Here is a 20209-nt window from a genome sequence, read left to right on the forward strand (position 1 = left end):
CTAACCTTCAGAAACTGTGAGTTAATAAATGTTTGTTTGAGATGCTAATTTTTTTTAACACAGCAATAGGTAACTAACATAGAAACATTCTATTAAAATCAGGAACACATCATGGGTACCTACTATTAATGCTACTAAAAGTCCCAGCCAATGCAATAAGACAAGAAAAAAATACAAATTGTCAAGTTTGGAAAGGAAGAAACAAAACTGTTATTGTTTGCAGATTAGTCTTCCACCTAAAAACTCCAGGTGTATCTAACACCATTGGTGTAGGGAAGGCAGTATGGTAGGATGGAATAAGCCCAGATCAGACCCAAATTTGAGACCTAGACTTTTTCTCACTTTCTGTGTGATCTCAGCCAAGTCTTTTTGCCTCTTTGGGCCTCATTGGTAAAGCGGAGATAATAACATTTATGCCATGAGGATTAATGTGAGTGTAACTAAAGTGCCTCAGTGACTGACACACAGTAGCCTTTGACAAATGAGATCTTCATTTAAGGAGGGCACTTGAGGGCAGAAGCCAGGCAAGATGGTGGTGTGACTGACCTGATATTCAGTTCACCAGGCTGTAGAATGTGGGCTCCTTGTATGTCCCCAGATGACTCCAGCCTGCTAGTGGGGTTCTAAGAAGCCCAGGAGATCCTTCCCTATACCCTGGGTTCAACCCCTAGCTCCACTTCCCCTCCTGGGCAGCCTTGGGCAAGTCAGTTACTTTGGCTGAATCCCTGTTATACACTCTACTGATTGGGATGCTTATGCCTACTTTTCTTTCTTCCCTGGAGTGCAGTGAAGATCAGAGTTGGGGAAGGAGCTCACTGAGGGGAATGCCTCACAGTAAGCCAGAAACTATAGGGAAATCCAGTAGAAACAAGGGGCAGAATGGGCTGTGAGAGATCTACCTACCTGGACAATGAAGCCCCAAAGGACCTTGGGGTATGGGATAGAATGATGCTGAGTGCAAGATTCACTCCCCTCCTGTTCCAACACCACTTGACATCCTACCATGTCCCAGTACTAGAGTTGTCAGATAAAAAAAAAAAAGTCTAGTTACATTTGAATTTCAGAAAACGATAAATAATTTTTATGTAAGTATATGCCCAAACATTGCAATTATTATTATTTATTTTTATTTTTATTTTTTAGATGGAGTTTGCTCTGTTACCCAGGCTGGAGTGCAGTGGCACAATCTCGGCTCACTGCAATCTCCACCTCCTGGGTTTAAGCGATTGTCTTGCCTCAGCCTCCTGAGTAGCTTGGATTACAGGCTCCCGCCACCACACCCAGCTAATTTTTGTATTTTTCGTAGAGATAGGGTTTCACCATGTTGGCCAGGCTGGTCTTGAACTCCTGACCTCAAGTGATCTGCCTGCCTTGGCCTCCCAAAGTGCTGGGATTACAGGCATGAGCCACTGTGCCTGGCTGCAATTACTTTTTTAGTTATCTGAAATTCTAATTTAACTGCATATCCTGTGTTTTTGTTTACTATATCTGGTAACCCTGCCCAGCAGGAGTGAAGTGAAGACACCCAGGGACTCTTCACCTCATTTCACAATGGAGGCCCTAGGAGGAGATCAGATTTGCCCAAAGCTCTGCGACATATCCACTATTTTGTTCTACACAAGGCCCCTTGGCTGAGGTTTAAACCTGGGCTGTTTGTGTTGGCTCTAACTCAGAGAACTTAGCTCACATCCCTTCCTTCCCTCTTAGGGCTGGCCTGGGCCTTGGGGCCATTGACAGTCTCTGGGAGTCTAACTCACAAGATAGAATGAAGAGGGTGGGTGGACAGGGAGCATTAAAGGAGGATCAAGAGGCTCAGCAGGAGATCTAACTACAGAATGTGGCTCCTGGTAGACTAATAATGCCACTTCTATTTCTACAGCCAAAGACTCAAGTTCTCAAGCAGTTTTTAATCTTTGAATTTGCCCTATGTCAATGGCAGAGGGGAAATGGAGCTAGGGCTAGTCTCTGAGCCTCCTGACACCCAGGGCTCTCCTTGCTGCTCTGGGGTCTGGAGAAAAGGGTTAGGAAAGAGGCCCTCTGATGCCCAGACCAGGGAAATGGAAAGAGGAAGGCTTGTGGAAAAGCAGGGTGGGTCCTGCCCGAAGCCCCTGGAGTTTGGTCCAGCCTCTGCTGTCATCTAGTGGACACCCCATGCCAGTGCCTCCTTGAGACTCCTGAACAAGGCTGTCTGCTCCTTTCCTGGTCGGTTGTGCCTGCTAGCCTAGTCCTTCTTGGCTCTGATTCGCTATATGACCCTGAACAAGCCCTTTTCTTCTCTGGTTCTCAATTTTATCTCTTGGAACAGTGGTTCTCCAAACGGTAGCAGGCCCAATCTTTCTAAAACACAAACATAGCCAGTTCTCTCCACTGTCTACATCTGTCTTCTGACCAGAGAGGCTCATGCTGAAGCCTGGTGGGCACTGCAGGATCTGAGCCCAGCTGACCTCACCTACTCCCCACATCTCTGTTCTAACCACACGGAACTACATTCATATTCTCAATTAACACACTCTCTAAGAGCCTTTGCACATGCTGTTCCCTTTGCCTAAAACACTTTTCCCCCTTCTTTACCTGGCTTGTTCTTACTCATCCTTCAGATGTTGGCTTAGCCATCCTGAAACCACCTTTGCAAAAATTATAACTGAGGAAATCATGACACTGAAAGAAATCAGACCTCACCGACTCCATCTTGCTTCTAACCTTTAAGCTGACCTTGTTCATTCCTGGGCGTAGGCCAAACTAACTTTGGGAAGGAATTCAGTTAATCATTTGACTCTGAAACAAAATTGGTAATAGCCCTTTTCCAAAAAGACCCTTTTCTTGCCTGGTGGGGACCAGTCTGTTTTTGCAAGACTAACAGATTAGCTACAAGATTAGAAATTACAGTTTAGGGTCATGCAGCCTCCGGCTCCAAGAGTCTGAACCTCCCCAAATTGCTCCTGGGGATAACATCAGTATTGTAAAATCTAAGATCAGTGCTTGAGGTATTTTGCAGACCCTGCACTGGATGGATCAGCTGACACTACCCAGACAAGTAATGTGGCTCAACCAGCTCTGCCATCCCACCCAGGAACAGAAGACAGCAAGAAAAACTCCCTTCGACCCCCTATAATTCCATCTCCAACCTGACCAATCAGCACTCCCCACTTCCTAAGCCCCTACAAATTATCTTTAAAAACTCTGATCTCCAAATGCTCTGGAAGACTGATTTGAGTAACAATAAAACTCGGGTCTCCCCCACAGCCGGCTCTACATTAATTACTCTTTCCCCATTCCAATTCCCCTGTCTTGATAAATCGGCTCTGTCTAGGCAGCAGGCAAGGTGAATTTGGTGGGGGGTTACAATCCCATTCAGGAAGCCCCCGCCCCCACCCCCACCCCCAAGTCCCCACACTAGGATGGGCGAGCATACCTTAGGTCTCCACTGAGGACTGGTTGTGGTTTCAGGAGGGCATATGATTCTGGAAGAGGTCAAATGTCAGCCCAGGGGGCTGACGGGTAGCCATGGGCTCAGGGTTCAAAATAACCTGATTTCCCATCCCACTATGCCAAGGTTGGACGCTGCGTATGACTATGAGCCAATGACTCCACCTCTCCAAACCTATTTTACAGATGAACAAATCAGACCATGTCTGCACCCACACTGGTCAACAGAATTCCAATGCTAGCCACAAATGTAATCTGAAATTTTCTAGCCATCGAGAACATAAAAGAAAGAGGTGAAAGTAATTTTAATAAGACATTTTGTGAGCTGGACCTGGTGGTGCACCCCTGGTGGCTGAGGTGGGAGGATCACTTTGAGTCCAGGACTTCAGGCTGCAATGAACTTTGATCAATCCTGCCACTGCACTCCAGTCTGGATGAGAGAGTGAGACCCGGTCTCAAAAAAAAAGATTAATAATACACTTTATGTGATCCGATGTGTAAAATATTATTTCAATATGTAATCACTATTTTTAAATTATTAACAAGCCATTTTACACCCTTTTTTGGTACCAAGTTTTTGATATCCTGTGTGTATTTTATTTACACTTATTGTGCATTTCAATTTGGATTCCATCTCAAGCACTCAGCCACATGAGACCGAAGACCACTGTTTCGGATAGCACAGCTCTACATGTAGCATTGGGGAAACAAGAATGATTCCCAGGTTTTTGGTCTGAACATGGAGGACAAAGGATAGGGTAATTTCTTGGTATGGAGGAGGGTGAATAAATGTGGTACAGGGTTGGGGAGAGTCTGAGGGCCTTTGTCCCTTTAAGTGTTCATTGCCCTACATCCTGGGAAAGTTTCTAGACACCTGTCCGGGAGCTGTGTAGACCCTGGTTTGTGTAGACCCTGGTGGCTTGGTGCTAGTGCCTGGGCCTCCTCCTTGAGGCCTGAGAAGGGGTCGCGAAGTCACTCTCACTTCTCTCCCAGACCCCACAGTCCTAGGCTCTGCCCTTTTATGCCGTCAAGGTGTAGGCATTCCCTCTACCAAAGATTTAGCAAAAAAGAAAAGTCAAGTTAATTTTGAATTTCAGATAAAGAACATGTAATTTTTTTTTCTTTTGAGACAAGATCTTGCTTTGTTGCCCAGACTGGAGTGCAGTGGCACAATCATGGCTCACTGCAGCCTTGAATTCCTGGGCTCAAGTGATCCTCCCATTTCTGCCTCCTGAGTAACTGGGACTATAGGCGTGCACCACCACGCCTGGCTAATTTTTAAAACTTTTAGTAGAGATGGGGTCTATGTGGCCCAAGCTGGTCTCAAATTCCTGGCTTCAAGCGATCCTCCTGCCTTGGCTTCCCAAACTGTTGGGATTACAGGCATAAGCCACCGCACCCAGCATAATAATTTTTAAATGTAAGTATGTCCCAGGTGATATTTGGGACATATTTATATTTTTTAAAATTTGATGTTTATGTGAACTTCAAATTTAATTGGGCATATCCTGTATTTTATCTGGCAGCCCTACTTCTAGTTCACCCTTCTGGACTTGGAAGCACTGAATCTGGCTCTATTTCCTTGTTGTGTGACCTTGGTCACATTTCCTCACCTCTCTGAACTTCAGCTTCCTCCTCTGTAAAGTGGCCACAAATACTTCTTTCCTCAATGAACTGTTAAAAGGACTCACTGAGAAAAGTATGAGAAAATGACCTCCAGGAGTTTGAGACCAGCCTGACCAACATGGTGAAACCCCGTTTCCACTAAAAATACAAAATAATTAGCTGGGCGTGGTGGCGCGCACCTGTAATCCCAACTACTCAGGATGCTGAGACAGGAGAATTGCTTGAACTCGGGAGGCAGAGGTTGTAGTGAGCAGAGATTGCACCACTGCACTCCAGCCTGGGCGACAGAGTGAGATTCTGTCTCAAAAAAAAAAGAAAAAAAGAAAAGGACCTCCCGGCCAGGCACAGTGGCTCACATCTATGACCTCAGTAATCTGGGAGGCCAAGGCAGGCAGGTTGCTTGAGTCCAGAAGTTCCAGACCAGCCTGGACAACATGGCAAAACCCTGTCTTTACAAAAAATACAAAAATTAGCTGGGCATCGTGGCACATGCCTGCAGTTCCAGCTACTCAGGAGGCTGAGGTAGGAGGAGCACCTGAGCCTGAGGAGGTTGAGACTGCAGTGAGCCAAAATCGCACCACTGCCCTCCTCCAGCCTGGGTGACAGAGTAAGACCCCGTCTCAAAAAAAAAAAAGAAAAAAAGAAAAAAAGAAAAAAGGAAGGACCTCCCCATAATGCCTGGCACATAGTAGGCCCAGAGCAAACATCTGCCCTTCCTTCAGTCTCCCAGATGTGCAAGGCAGCTCCACTGTCCAATGAGTGCCCCACCTCCCTCCCTCTCCACACTACCCAGGATCCCATAATTCCATAATTTCTCAGTGCCTTTTTGTATTGTCCTTCTCTTCACTAGTATTTCTTTCCCTGGTTTCCAGACTTTTTTTTTTTTTTTTAGAGAAAAGGTCTCACTCTGTCACCCAGGCTGAAGTGCAGCGGCGTGATCATAGCTCACTGCATCCTGAAGCTCCTGGGCTCAAGCCATCTTCCCACCTCAGCCTTCTCAGTAGCTGGGACTACAGATGAATGCCACCATGCCCAGCTAAATTTTTTTTTGTAGAGACAGGGTCTTGCTATATTGCCCAGCCTGGTTTTGAACTCTTAGCCTTAAGTAATCCTCCCTTGTCGGCCTCCCAAAATGTTGATATTACAGATGTGAACCGCTGTGCCTGGCCAGCTTCCTGAACTTTTGGCCATGCTTCATCTTTGCTAGGAATATACTAGAATCCTCTGGAAAGGGCCTAATTCCCAAGAATAGAGTCCTGCTGACCTAGCTCTCAGAAGATTCCAGAATATGGCTCAGATACTACCTGGTGGCTATGTATCTAAACAAAAAATACTATCACTACCAGACGTGAATCTGAAAGGTCAGGCTGGTTCACTCTGCCCCTGACCAGCAGGGCCACCATAAGGGCAGAGCCCTGGGCCAGGCCCCAGTAGAAGACTGAATAGACGGACCCTGAGCTGTCCTGGGGCAGGGAACTTGATGGCAGGGGAGCAGCAGGCTTCAACGTGACCCTAGCACCCATACACAGAGAATGAGAGGAGCCTGAGGCCCAGGGGTGGGTGGCCTGTCTGAGGGCACACAGCAAAGATTTGCCTATTTGCCCCAGATCAGGGGACTAATGAGGCCATGCTCCTAACCTGCCCACTCCTCTGTGGAAGAACTGGGATTTAGGAGAATCAGGGAGTGCTTTCTCTGGCTTATTCTCACTTCTGTCTGCAGACACAGTCTTCCTCTCTCAGCCTCCTGTACCCATGAGGAGAGACTAATGTGGGGTAGGGGTAGGGAAATGGCTAGGTCCAGGGAACCTTCTCCCCCATGTCAGGTGAGGAGACTGGAGGAGAAAGTGATGCTACCTCCTTAAGAGCTGGTGCTCCCTGGGATGCTGGAATCCTCTCTCTCTCCTTGCATTGAACAGATCATAAAATTGAGTCCCAGAGAAGAGCAGGGACCTGTGAGTCCTAGAAGATCAAATAGGCCTGGCTGATGCCTATAATTCTAGCACTTTGGGAGGCCAAGGCAGGCGGATTGCCTGAGCTCAGGAGTTTGAGACCACCTGGGTAACATGGTGAAAACCCGTCTCTACTAAAAAGACAAAAAATTAGCCGGGTGTAGTGGTGAGTGCCTGCCTGCTTCCAGCTACTCGGGAGGCCGAGGCATGAAAAATCGCTTGAACCCAGGAGGCAGAGGTTGCAATGAGCCAAGATTGTGCCACCGCACTCCAGCCTGGGTGACAGAGGGAGACTCTGTTAAAAAAAAAAAAAAAAATCAAGTGGGCCAGAAGGTCCCCCAGACTTCTTGCCTCTCCTCACTTGGCAAGTAAACACCTGTGGCCCAGGTCCTTAATCATGCCCTTCTCCCACCTTATAATTTACCCACTCTTTGGTTGTTGTTTTTTGTTTTTTGTTTTTGTTTTTGTTTTGTTTTTTTGAGACAGAATTTCACTCTTGTCGCCCCGGCTGGAGTGCAATGGTGTGATCTCGGCTCACTGCAACCTCCGCCTCCCCAGTTCAAATGATTCTCCTACCTCAACCTCCCAAGTAGCTGGGATTGCAGGCACCCACCACCATGCCCAGCTAATTTTTGTATTTGTAGTAGAGACAGGGTTTCACCATGTTAGCTGAGCTGGTCTCGAACTCCTGACCTCAGGTCATCCGCCCGCCTCAGCCTCCCAAAGTGCTGGGATTACAGGCATGATGAGCTACCGCGCCTGGCCTAATTTACCCACTCTTCAACCTTCCTGGTCCCCCAAACTCATGGCTCCCCCTGAGGTTCTACAGGGGCCTCCTATTTGTGTTGTGTTCCTAATCTCCATCCCTTCCCTCTGCCCTCTGGAGAGGGTCTAAATGCCTCTGCATGGTCTTCCACTCCCACCCACCCCACCCACTACCCCAAGCCCTTCCTTCCTTGCCAGTCTATCACTCCTTCCATCCCTTCACAGACCCTACTCTCTGTGCCAGGGTGGTGAAGCAACATTTCAACAGGAGCAGGTTTTGAGGGCGGATTCCAATTTTGGGCCTGATTCTTACCAGCTGTGTAGTCTTGGGCATGTTGCTTAACTTCTCTGGTCCTCTAGCCTCTCATCTGTAGTAAGACTTCCTTCACAATCCTGGGGTGAGGGTTAAATTGCATAAAGCCCTTAGCACAGTATGCAGCACTTTATAAACATTCAATAAATGTTAGCTACTGCTATTATTATTATTAAAGGAGTAAGGGCAAAGAAGGGGAGGGGGCAGGGGGACTTGGGAGCAAGCAGAGGAAGAAATCAGAAAATTTATATTTTTAAAATTATTTCCCACCGGAATGAATATTTTTTATTCAGCACAATGTTGTAGGCATCAAATAATATTAAATCTATGCTGGGTTCCAGCAGGATAAATGCCAACATCACCAACAGGGCTTCCAGGGATTATAAGTGCCTTAGTGTGCTAAAGCAGAGAAGATATTACTTGATATATTTTTGAAGCTGAAGTGCTTCCAAGTTTGGTAGTTCCAATTCTGCTACTTCTTGGGAACGTTTTTAATAACAAGAACATGAAGAAATAAACAGTGCTGGTTCCCTAATGTTAAAGTTTCAGGAACGTGGTTATTGCTTTCCAGAAAATACCATGAGAATGACCTCATTTCCGACTAAGGAAAAGTTGAACTCTCTCCATTTTTTCCACCTTATGAACCCAACAAAAAGAGCAAAGAGGAATATAATCAGGGAGTTTATCTTAATGAAAGCTGATGGCTTCAATATCTTTTTTCCCACAGTTTAATTGCTTTAGGCATTTATTATTAGCTATGATTAACGCAGAAAGAAGGGACAAAAAGCTCACAAACACTATACAATTTCACAAGATGCATTGCAGGGGGAAAAGTGACTGAGATGGATCAGCAATATCCCAGGGTCTTGGTGGATGCATTCCTGGTGGAAAGGGTCTCATTCCTGGAGGGGGCATGCCTACTGGCGTCCCTCTAGCAAGGGGAAGCCCAATTGGTGGGCCCATGGGTGGTTTCATACCAGGTGGAGGAAACATAATGCCTAGAGGTGGGGCTGCTCTGCCAACAGGTGGGGGTGGAGCCCCCGGTCCTGGTGGGTACTGTGTTGGGGCTCCAGTAATGCTCTTCTCTGTGGAGTCATTACCTGCTGGGATGGTCCCCCAACTCCTGGGACGGGGCCTGCTAATCCACCAGGAGCCTGGGGAATTGGTACACCAGCTGATACTCCTCTACCAGCTGCCCTAACAACTCCAGGGCCTCCTGCAGCTCCAGCAAGTGGTACCCGAGCAATGCCAGTATATTTTGGGGGTAGCCCCTCCACAGTCATGGATACCAAGTTCTCCCCATGCAGCAACACCAGACCCCAAAAGTGCTTTTCTTCGAGCTCTGGTTGCTTCACGTTCTTTGGCTTGATCTTTCTGAACTCATCACAATCGCAGAGGATCAAATTCACATGCTTGTCAAACGCCTTAAAGATGCCAAAGAAGATTGTGCCTTCCTGTAGGATGCATTTCATTCTATAGTCAATGTGCTGCTGCAGCCTTGCTACTCGTGCCCACAGTCGTGATTGCTGCTTCACCAAATCCCGTGTCCACAGTTAAAACTTCGTGCTTCTTAAGACCTGGGGGAAAGCTATAGATAAAGGTATGGTGCAGGTTCTCCCAGAAACAATGCAAGCTGAGGGGGAAACGTGGTGGCTCACGCCTGTAATCCCAACACTTTGGGAGGCTGAGGAGGGCAAATCACCTGAAGTCAGGAGTTCGAGAGCAGCCTGGCCAACATGGTGAAATCCCATCTCTACTAAAAATACAAAAATTAGCTGGGTGGTAGTGGCATGCACCTGTAATCCCAGATACTCAGGAGGCTGAGACAGGAGAATCGCTTGAGCTAGGGAGGCGGAGGTTGAGGTGAGTCAAGATGGCATCACTGTACTCCAATCTGAGTGACAGAGTGAGGTGCTGTCTCAAAAATATATGTATAATTTTTAAAAGTATATTGAAAGCATTGGGTGAGGTGGCTCATGCCTGTAATCCCAACACTTTGGGAGACCAAACTGGGAGGATCCCTTGAGGCCAGGAGTTTGAGACCAGCTTGGGCAACAGCAGGACCCTGTCTCTACAGAAAAATAAAAAATATTAGCTGGGTGTGGTGCGTGCCTGTAGTCACAGTTATTCAGGAGACTGAGGTGGGAGGATCACTTGAGCCCAGGAGTTGAAGCCTGCAGTGAGTTAGGATGGTGTGCCACTGCACTCCAGTCTGGACCACAGGCTGAGACCATGTTTTTTTAAAAAAATAAAAAATAGATAATGGATCGATTGATAGAGAAAGCTCACTCTGTGATGAACCTGTTCCGAGTATCCTCATAACAACTTTTTGAGGAAGGAAGAAATTGGAACACACCTGTGGTTAAACAAGTTGAGTTTATCACTTGTTATGGGGTAAGGGTGAGAGGACATGAATCATGAGAAACAATAGGGCAGCTGGGCTTGGTGGTTCACATCTGTAATCCCAGCACTGTAGAAGCCCAAGGTGGGAGGAACACCTTAGGTCAGGAGTTCGAGACCAGCCTGGCCAACATGGTGAAACCCTGTCCCTACTAAAAATACAAAAATTAGCCGGGAGTGATGGTGGGCGCCTGTAATCCCAGCTACTTGGGAGGCTGAGGCAGAAGAATCACTTGAACCCAGGAGGCAGAGGCTGCAGTGAGCCGAGATCACACCACTGCACTCCAGCCTGAGTGATAGAGTGATACTCTGTCTCAAAAACAAACAAACAAACAAACAAACAAACAAAGGGGCATCTCAGTAACAAAGTGTTACAAAGGACACATAGGATTTGGGCTTGCATTAGGTGATTTGGACGAGGGCTTAAGAAAATGGGGTTTTCTGGATTGGATGCTGCCTATGAGTGAGTACCTTGATAAACATTATTTAGAAGGAGGGAAGAGTAGACCGAGGCTAAATCTATAATCTCTATACAAGCCAGAATAGGGAAATGTTTGGCCATTTTTGTAGTTCGAACAATGCTCATGTTTTGTCTGGGTTTAGACATGATTCAAGTGGTTTTGTTATTGTCTTGATCCATCATGGTCACATAGTGGCTTTGTTTGATGTTGATGTTCTGTGAAGTTTTTATGTTCAATAAGAGAACACACCAAGGTCTATTTGTGAGTGCCAGACCATCTCCTGGATGTCAGGGGCTGTTTTTCTCTTAGCGCTTGGTTTCAAATCCAGGTTTGTGTGACTGGAAACATCCCTTGTATTACTTCTTGATCACAGGAACTTGCAAAGGTGGCTGGCAGACTAGGACTTTCATCTATGAGCTTATTTCATCTACTATTTTTTATTTTTTTTTCTGAGATGGAGTTTCACTCTTGTCGCCCAGGCTGGAGTGCAATGGCACGATCTTGGCTCACTATAACCTCTGTCTCCTGGGTTCAGGCAATTCTCCAGCCTCAGCCTCCCAAGTAGCCGGGATTACAGGTGCCCGCCACCACGCCTGGCTAATTTTTGTATTTTTAGTAGAGATGAGTTTCACCATGTTGGCCAGGCTGGTCTCGAACTCCTAACCTCAGGTGATCTGCCTGCCTCGACCTCCCAAAGTGCTGGTATTATAGGCGTGAGCCACCGCGCCGGCCTTTATCTACTATGTTCACCTCCTACTCAGGTCCGATCCCTAACCGTTCCTGGGATAACTGTAGGTACTTAATAAATGCTTGTTGAATGAATGAAGATGGCTGTCAAGAACTCCAATGACTGCTTGAGTGCAAATCACAAGCTCCATCACCTATCAGTATGTGATTTGATACAATATGTATTAACAGCTAATCCACAATCCATATTCAAATTTCATTACTTGTCCCAATATTGTCCATTACAACTATTCCACCACCACCACTACCCCAGTCCAGGGTCCTATTTAGAATCACACACCACATTTTGTTGTCATGCTTCTTTAGTCTCCTTTAAACTGGAACAGTTCCTCAGCTTTTCTCTGTTTTTCATGACAATGAGTTATTTTGTAGACAGTGTCCTTCATTTGGGGTTCTCTAGCACTTCCTCATGAGATGTGTACGGTGCACTTTTGACAGAAATACCACAGATGTGTTCTCAGTGCATTTTATTAGGAGGCCCTTGATCTGACCCATTAACTAGTGGTGTTAACTTTGATCACTTTGATCTGTTTGTTCTGCTAGGTTAAACCTCTGTAACATCACCATTTTCCCTTTGTAATCAATAGCTAATTTATGGGAGACACTTTTGCTGTTGTAAACATCCCGTTTCTCTAGTTTTACCACACATTATTGATTTCCTAATTCCACCATGTTTATTAGCTAGCATTCTACTAAAAGGAAGACTTTCCCTTCACCCATTAATATGCTCACTTCTTTATGTTTGTAAAGACTCATGGATTACTATTTTATTCAATTAGTTATACTCTATTACTATCACTCCATATTTTGATTCTGAAATTGCCCTGACTTGGCCAGTAAGATCTCCTTAAAGACAGCTCCTGTGTTCTTTGACACATTCCCATGATTCTTATTACCATCATCCTTATATTCTGGTGTAACAAGATGTTCCAAGTTTATCTGGTACTTTCCGGAATGAGTTAGTTCTTTCTCTCTCTCTTTTTTTTTTTTTTTTTTGACGGAGTCTCACTCTGACGCCCAGGCTAGAGTGCAGTGGTGCGATCTCAGCTCACTGCAACCTCCGCCTCCCGGGTTCAAGCGATTATCCTGCCTCAGCCTCCCGAGTAGCTGGGATTACAGGTGTGCGCCACCACGACCGGCTACTTTTTGTATTTTGAGTACAGAGGGGTTTCACCATTTTGGCCAGGCTGGTCTCGAACTCCTGACCTCAAGTGATCCATCCGCCGCGGCCTCCCAAACTGCTGGAATTACAGGTGGGAGCCACCGCGCCCGGCCGGAATCAGTTTTTTTCTTTTAGGAGCCCCGAACCCAAAGCTCTTTGAAAAGCTGCCGAAGCTCCAAGGTTCCTCCGCTTCCTGCCCGCAGGCGGAACCTTAGAGCTTCAGCCATGGAAATTAACCTCTTCCGGTTGGGGCCGGAAGTCCCTCCGAGAGGGGCGGCTCCGCGTCATGTGACTGGAGTCCGCGTAGGAGGGGTCGGAGGTCTTACCCAACAGATTGACGCGGCGTTAGTATTGGCCGTGTACCCGAAAAACTGATTGACTGGGCTGGCGTTAACTGTGCGGAGGCAGGTATGTGAGGGGCTGGGGTTGGGGCGGGGGCGCCAAAGTTTAGGGACGGGGGCGGGAGACCCGGGTCCGCCTTCCCAGGACACACGGGCTTGAACATCTGAGCCCAGGGGCCCAGAGACAGCAAGACCGGTCGTGTCTGTCCCCGAAAAGAGGACGAGCTGGCGTTGTGGTTCTGCGTCCCATGAATACAGATTGGGGAAACTGAGGCCTTGCGAAAGAGAAGGGCTCCCACAAGCTCTCCTTTCGAGGCATGGGCACTGATTCCCATTCTATCCCCCGTGCGAGACCGCCTCTATCATCTGGGAGTGCATTTCACGAGTTTGCCCTGAGTGGAGAAGCAGAGGCCGGGGAGCGCGGTGAACAGAGTTGGGCTGAAAGTAAGAGACCTGGATTCGAGACTTCGCCACCGACAGACAATTGTGCGTTCTGGGCCAAATCTCTTCCCTGTGCTGGGCCTCAGTTTTCTCGTCTCTAAAACGGGGCAGTGTTTTTCAAAATATGGTTCTTACACCATCTGCTTTGTAATTCTCTGAGATGCCGGCTTTACAGCGCGGGACTCAATTCAGACTTCTGGTTTAGAATCTGAACTTATGCGTAGGGGGGTCCTGTATATACTAATGTTTGAAGCTCATTGATTTTAAGTGCTTTCCTGCTGTGAGCACTAGATATCCATTCTTCGCTTTGAGGCAGCTGGTGCCAGTTCAGGAACTTTGAAAGAACTGGAATGGTTAGCTCAGTAAAGAGAGCACTGGAAGGGAATTAACTTTTTAAAAATTGAAAATACTGTTACGGCAAAGAGGGCTTCCACTTCATCTTTAGGCTAAAAGAGGCAGAACTAGGACTAACAGGTGAATTCTACAGGAAGGCAAGATTTTTGCTTAATAGAAGAACTTAAATGGAAGAATCGTCAGAGGTGACCACCGATGGAGTGAATGGATTGCCTCCGTGCCTCCTTTCGAGGGAGGTATATAGGTATTAGATGAAGGTCCTTTCCAACTTGAAAGTCTGTGATTCCAAGGAGTTGTTCTGCATCTTTCTGGTGCTGACTCTGCTCTCAAGGCAAATGTGACTTTTTTCTTCTCTTTTGACACTTCCATCACTTTAGCCTACATCTCCTGTAAATAAGGCCAATGCATCTGACCTTACATAATCTCTTCCTGGTTGTCCTGTGCACCATCCTTCTTTTCAAGGACTTTGGAATGACCCAATATCTGATAGAGGCACCTTAAATGTTTATTGAATGAATAAGTAAACTGGGTCCCACCCCATGGGTTAGTAGCTTTTTTCTAAGAACAAGTTGGAAATGCCTCTGAAGATTTTATGTTTGACCAGGAGAAGCCAGTGAACTCTGAATCACAAAATTGAGGACTCTCAGTTGAAAGCACCCCTTGAGGTTGTTCAGACCAGCCTTCTCTTCCCTGGAACATAATCCCTGCTTGAATCCTCTCTTCAGCAATATGTGTATAGATGTGAGAGAATTTTTGCAGTCTGTTGGCTAGCTTTCCATGCATCATATAAAAACAGTCCTCTTATAGACTTGACTTGCCAGTTCACACACATGACAAGTTCCAGCTTTTTTTTTTTTTTTTTTGAGTATTTAGTAGAGATGGGGTTTCACCATGTTGGCCAGGCTGGTCTCGAACTCCTGACCTCAAGTGATCCGCCTGCCTCAGCCTCCCAAAGTGCTGGGATTTCAGGTGTAAGCCACTGTGCCTGGCCTCTAGCATACCTTTGGTTTTCTAATCAAACATTATTATGTCCTTATTTTGTGCATTACAAAGCTCTGCCTAAATCACTTTTTCAACACCTGCTAGAATGCTTAGGAATGTTTATGTTGTCTTAGGGAGCAGAGGCTCCATATTATGACCCAGTTCTGCTGACTTGCTCCCCCGCCGCCACAAAAGTTAGGGTTGAGCCAAAACTTCCTGCCAGTTATCGACTTGTGTTTCCCAAGATTAAAAAATAAAAAAGTTGTGAAATGCTTATTCAGATGTTATCCAGGTACTGGGTAAAATGATCTTAATTTGTTGGAGTTTTTAGAACTTCTCGATCTAAAAGTTTCCTTTTAAAGAAGTGTCTGAATTGACATTCTCATAAGTATGTTCTTCAGGCCACTGGTCTGAAGAAGTGGCTCTGAAAAAAGGATTTGATGCTAATAATAAGTTTGAGAAAGCCACATACCATTATTCTTTCTTGGAGCTTCTCAATGTGTAATACCACATTAAAACCACTGAGAGGTCCTGCAATAAGGAAATGTGCCTTATAAGCCAAGATAATAACTTGTTCCATTTGTTTAATCTACTTGATGTCAAATCTTTTTTTTTTTTTTAATTGAAGCACACGTTAGCAAATTCTGACCTAGAGTGGGGATCTGCATACTATATATAGGCTGTGAACCAAACCTGGACCTACTGCTTGTTTATATGGTCTGTGAGCTAAGGGTGCTTTTTACATTTTTCTTTCTTTTTTTTTTTTTTTTAAGACGGAGTCTCGCTCTGTTGCCCAGGCTGGAATGCAGTGGCTCCATCTCAGCTCACTGCAAGCTCCGCCTCCTGGGTTCATGCCATTCTCCTGCCTCAGCCTCCCGAATAGCTGGGACTACAGGCGCCCACCCCGATGACTGGCTAATTTTTTGTATTTTTAGTAGAGGTAGGGTTTCACTGTGTTAGCCAGGATGGTCTTGATCTCCTGACCTCGTGATCTGCCCGCCTCAGCCTCCCAAGGTGCTGGGATTACAGGCGTGAGCCACCACGTCTGGCCTGCTTTTTACATTTTTAAATGATGGGAAATAAAAGAAGAATAATATTACATAGGTGACAATTACAGGAAGATAAAATTTCAGTGTTCATTTCAGTCACACCCATTTATTTATATTCATATATATTTACATATTGTCTTTGGGTGCTTTAATGCTACTCAGTGGAGTTGATTACTTCCCATAAAAACCATATGGTCCACAGAGTCTGAAGTATTTACTCTATGGCCCTTTATGGAAAAAAAATTGCCAATTCCTGACCTGCATCGTGTACATTTTTTTTTTTTGAGACAGTGACTCGCTCTGTTGCCCAGGCTGGAGTGCAGTGGCACGAACATAGCCTACTACAGCCTTGACCTCCTGGGCTGAAGCCATCTTCCCACCTCAGCCACCCGAGTAGTTGGGACTACGGGCACACACCACCACACCCAGCTAACTTTTAGGTTTCTTGTAGAGATGAGGTCTCACTATGTTGCCCAGGCTGGTCTCAAATCTCCGAGCTCAAATGATTCTCCTGCCTCAGCCTCTCAAAGTGCTAGGATTACAGGTATGAGCCACCACTCCCAGCCATGTATTGTTTTTTAACTTTTTATTTTATTTTATTTATTTATTTATTTATTTATTTATTTATTTGAAACGGAGTCTCACTCTGTCCTCCAGGCTGGAGTGCAGTGGCGCAATCTCGGCTCACTGTAACCTCCACCTCCCGGGCTCAAGCAATTCTCCTGCCTCAGCCTTCTGAGTAGCTGGGACTACAGGTGCACGCCACCTTGCCTGGCTAATTTTTGTATTTTTAGTGGAGACGGGGTTTCACCATGTTGGCCAGGATGGTCTCAATCTCCTGACCTCAAGTGATCCACCCACCTCAGCTTCCCAAAGTGCTGGGATTACAGGCTTGAGCCACCGTGCCTGGCCCCTTATTATTATTATTATTATTTTTTAGATGGAGTTTCACTCTTGTTGCCCAGGCTGGAATGCGGTGGGACAGTCTCAGCTCACTGCAACCTGTGCCTCCCAGGTTCAAGCGATTCTCCTGCCCCAGCCTCCCAAGTAGCTGGGATTACAGGCATGTGCCACCACACCTGGCCAATTTTTGTATTTTTAGTAGAGGTGGGTTTCACCGTGTTGGCCAGGCTGGTCCTGAACTCCTGACCTCAGGTGATCCACCCGCCTTGGCATCCCAAAGTGCTGGGATTACAGCCGTGAGCCACTGCGCCTGGCCTTTTTATTTTGAAATAATTTTACTCTTATACTAAACTTGCAAAAATAATTCACAAACTTTCTGTATATCTGTCATCTAACTTCACCTAATGTCAAAACTGTACATAATTATATCAGAATTATCCAAACAAGAAATTTAACATTAATACAATATTACTAGCTAATCTAGAGACTTTATTCAGATTTTGCTATTTGTCCCACTGTGTCCTTTTTCTGTTCCAGGACCCAATCCTGGATCCTACATCACATTTAGTTGTCAAGTCTCCCTGGTCTCATCAGATATCTGGGACAGTTCCTCATTGTCTTTTTTTTTTTTTTTTTTTTTTTGAGACGGAGTCTCACCCTGTCACCCAGGCTGGAATACAGTGGCATGATCTCAGCTAACTGCAACCCCCCTCCCGGGTTCAAGCGATTCTCCTGCCTCAGCCTCCTGAATAGCTGCAATTACAGGCGTGTGCCACCATGCCCAGCTGTTTTTTGTATTTTTAGTAGAGTGGGGTTTCACCATGTTGGGCAGGCTGGTCTTGAAGTCCCAACCTCAGGTGATCCACCTGCCTCGGCCTCCCAAAGTTCTGGGATTACAGGTGTGCCACCACACCCGGCCTGCATTTGCACTAAAATTTATTTTTTTTTTAATTGTTTGTTTTTGAGATGGAATTTCACTCTTATTGCCCAGGCTGGAGTGCAGTGGCGCAATCTTGGCTCACCGCAACATCTGCCTCCCAGGTTCAAGCGATTCTCCTACCTCAGCCTCCCGAGGAGCTAGGATTACAGGCATGCACCACCACGCCCGGCTAATTTTGTATTTTTTTTTTTTTAGTAGAGACAGGGTTGCTCTATGTTGGTCAAGCTGGTCTGGAACTCCCGGCCTCAGGTGATCTGTCTGCCTCAGCCTCCCAAAGTGCTGGGATTACAGGTGTGAGCCACTGCGCCTGGCCATTTGCACTAAAATTTATGAGGGTTCCAGTTTCTCCGCATCCACAACACTTGTTATTGCCCACTAAAAAAATTATATCTCTCCTAGTGGGTGTGAAGTGATATCTCATTGTGGTTTTGATTTGCATTTCCTTAATGGCTGATGATGATGATGATGATGTTCTTATTGGCCATCTGCATATCTTATTTGGAGAAATGTCTGTTTAGATCTTTTGCTCATTTTGTAATTGAGTTATTTGTTATCGTGTACAATTTTGAATGTAGGTATTCAAAGAGTTTGCAGATCTCTTGAAATAACTCAGTGATTTGACCTGCAAATTCTGAGGCAATGCCAGTATGTCCCTGATCTGAATGTAGTTGGATTTGGACATACTAAAGCACAAAGTAAATTTCCATTTGAGGCTACTGACCATGCAGAGCTTGACTCAAACCCAGCCACTTCTGGCCATGTGGAGTTGGAGTGGCCATGGGCAAGTGAAAGGAAGGGTACTATTTGCGTCCAGAAATGAGGTTGTCATCCAAGATATGATAAGACTAGTCAGGGAGCCTTCATTTTGGGTGCCACTCTGCTGTATGTCTGGTTATAGGCAGGGAGTAGAGGAGTCAGTGGTGGTTTGAATGCTCAGGACTAGCTGCTCATAGCTACATAACTACAGTGCTCCTAGGCCTATCTTGACCCTACAGCATTTGGCCATAACCAAACCATCTTGGACACATACCTTGAAACAAACAAAAGCTTCAGTAATGTAAATTGTGAAAGTAGTATGTGCTTATTTTATTATTATTTTTTTTTAGAGATGGAGTCTTGCTCTGTTGCCCAGGCTGGAGTGCAGTGGCACAGTGTTGACTCACTGCAGCCTCCATCTCCCAGATTCAAGCAATTCTCGTGCCTCAGTTCCTGAGTAGCTAGAATTACAGGCAAGTGCCACCATGCCCGACTAATTTTTGTATTTTTAGTAGAGATGGGGTTTCATGATCTTGGCCAGGCTGGTCTCGAACTCCTGACCTCAAGTGATCCGCCCACCTCAGCCTCCCAAAGTGCTGGGATTACAGGCATGAGCCACCATGCCCTGCCGATGTGCTCATTTTAGACATTTTGGGAAATACAGAAAAATCTCCCTCTCCCCACCCTAGTCATCCCTAGCTCTAGTATCTAGAGAACCTTTGTTGCAGTTGCTATATTTCCTTCTTGTTTCCTGCTACGGGGCACATTTTTAATAGTTGGAATCACTCACTGTACACAGGTCCATATCTTGCTTTTTCTTATTAACATCTAAAACTGAAGAAAACACACACTTTAATTTTAATGTCTCCATGTTTTTGCCAGCCTCTTCTATAAGCATTTCTTCTTCTTCTTCTTCTTCTTCCCCTTCCCCTTCCCCTTCCCTTCCCCTCCTCCTCCTCCTCCTTCTTCTTCTTCTTCTTCCTCTTCCTCTTCCTCTTCTTCTTCTCGAGACAGAGTCTGGCTCTGTTGCCCAGGCTGGAGTGCAATGGTGCGATCTTGGCTCACTGCAACCTCCACCTCCCGGGTTCAAATGATTCTCCTGCCTCAGCCTCCCGAGTAGCTGGGATTATAGGTGCCTGCCACCATGCCCAGCTAATTTTTGTATTTTTGGTAGAAACGGGATTTCACCATGCTGGCCAGGCTGGTCTCGAACTCCTGACCTCAGACGATCCACCCACCTCAGCCTCCCAAAGTGTTGGGATTACAGGCGTGAGCCACCACACCTGGCCTATAAGCGTTACTTCTGATGGCCTACATAGATTTCCATTTCCTTAACTGTTCATTTATTTAATAAGTCTTACTATGTAGACGTAATGTGTATAATAAGTACTTGGTGTGTTCTTAGTGGGATAGAAATGTAGTTTTGATTTTTAAATAAGGAGCATAGATTTTCTTAAAATTTTTTTTATTGTGGTAAGATGTACATAACAATATTTACTGTTTTAACTAATTTTATCTATTTAAATTTTTTTTGAGATAGGGTCTCACTCTGTGGCCTAGGCTGAAGTGTAGTGGCAACTCACTGCAGCCTCAAC

General features: G+C 45.8%; 1 protein-coding gene, 1 non-coding gene and 1 pseudogene across 7 annotated transcripts in view, besides 2 other annotated features; 1 reads left to right on the forward strand and 2 right to left on the reverse strand.

Moving 5' to 3' along the window:
- Positions 828–1006: a silencer, noted in NCBI's record as "fragment chr22:31543860-31544038 (GRCh37/hg19 assembly coordinates)". NCBI's record gives its function as "represses an EF-1alpha promoter that drives an FKBP-Casp9 reporter gene in an ReSE screen in phorbol 12-myristate 13-acetate-treated (for megakaryocytic differentiation) K562 erythroleukemia cells {active_cell/tissue: K562(+PMA)}" and the evidence as "EXISTENCE:reporter gene assay evidence [ECO:0000049][PMID:32094911]".
- SNRPNP2 (SNRPN pseudogene 2) lies at positions 8887–9767 on the reverse strand (annotated as a pseudogene).
- Positions 8897–9191: a silencer, noted in NCBI's record as "tiled region #9733; K562 Repressive non-DNase unmatched - State 24:Quies". NCBI's record gives its function as "represses a minimal TATA promoter and a strong SV40 promoter by Sharpr-MPRA in K562 cells {active_cell/tissue: K562}" and the evidence as "EXISTENCE:reporter gene assay evidence [ECO:0000049][PMID:27701403]".
- Positions 9768–13015: 3248 nt separating the features above from the next.
- On the reverse strand, positions 13016–13073 carry MIR3928 (microRNA 3928). The gene has a single exon (NR_037496.1). It is a non-coding gene; the product is annotated as a microRNA 3928 (primary transcript).
- Positions 13074–13135: 62 nt separating this feature from the next.
- The window catches only part of RNF185 (ring finger protein 185), a 46838-nt gene continuing 39764 nt past the window's right edge, over positions 13136–20209 (forward strand). For all 6 annotated transcript variants that reach the window (NR_024209.2, NR_024210.2, NR_024211.2 and 3 more), the window contains exon 1: positions 13136–13257. The gene's annotated coding sequence lies outside the window, so the exon portion shown is untranslated. The remainder of the gene's footprint in view (positions 13258–20209) is intronic.

Source organism: Homo sapiens, chromosome 22 (genome assembly GCF_000001405.40).
Source record: "Homo sapiens chromosome 22, GRCh38.p14 Primary Assembly".
Taxonomy (NCBI): Eukaryota; Metazoa; Chordata; class Mammalia; order Primates; family Hominidae; genus Homo; species Homo sapiens.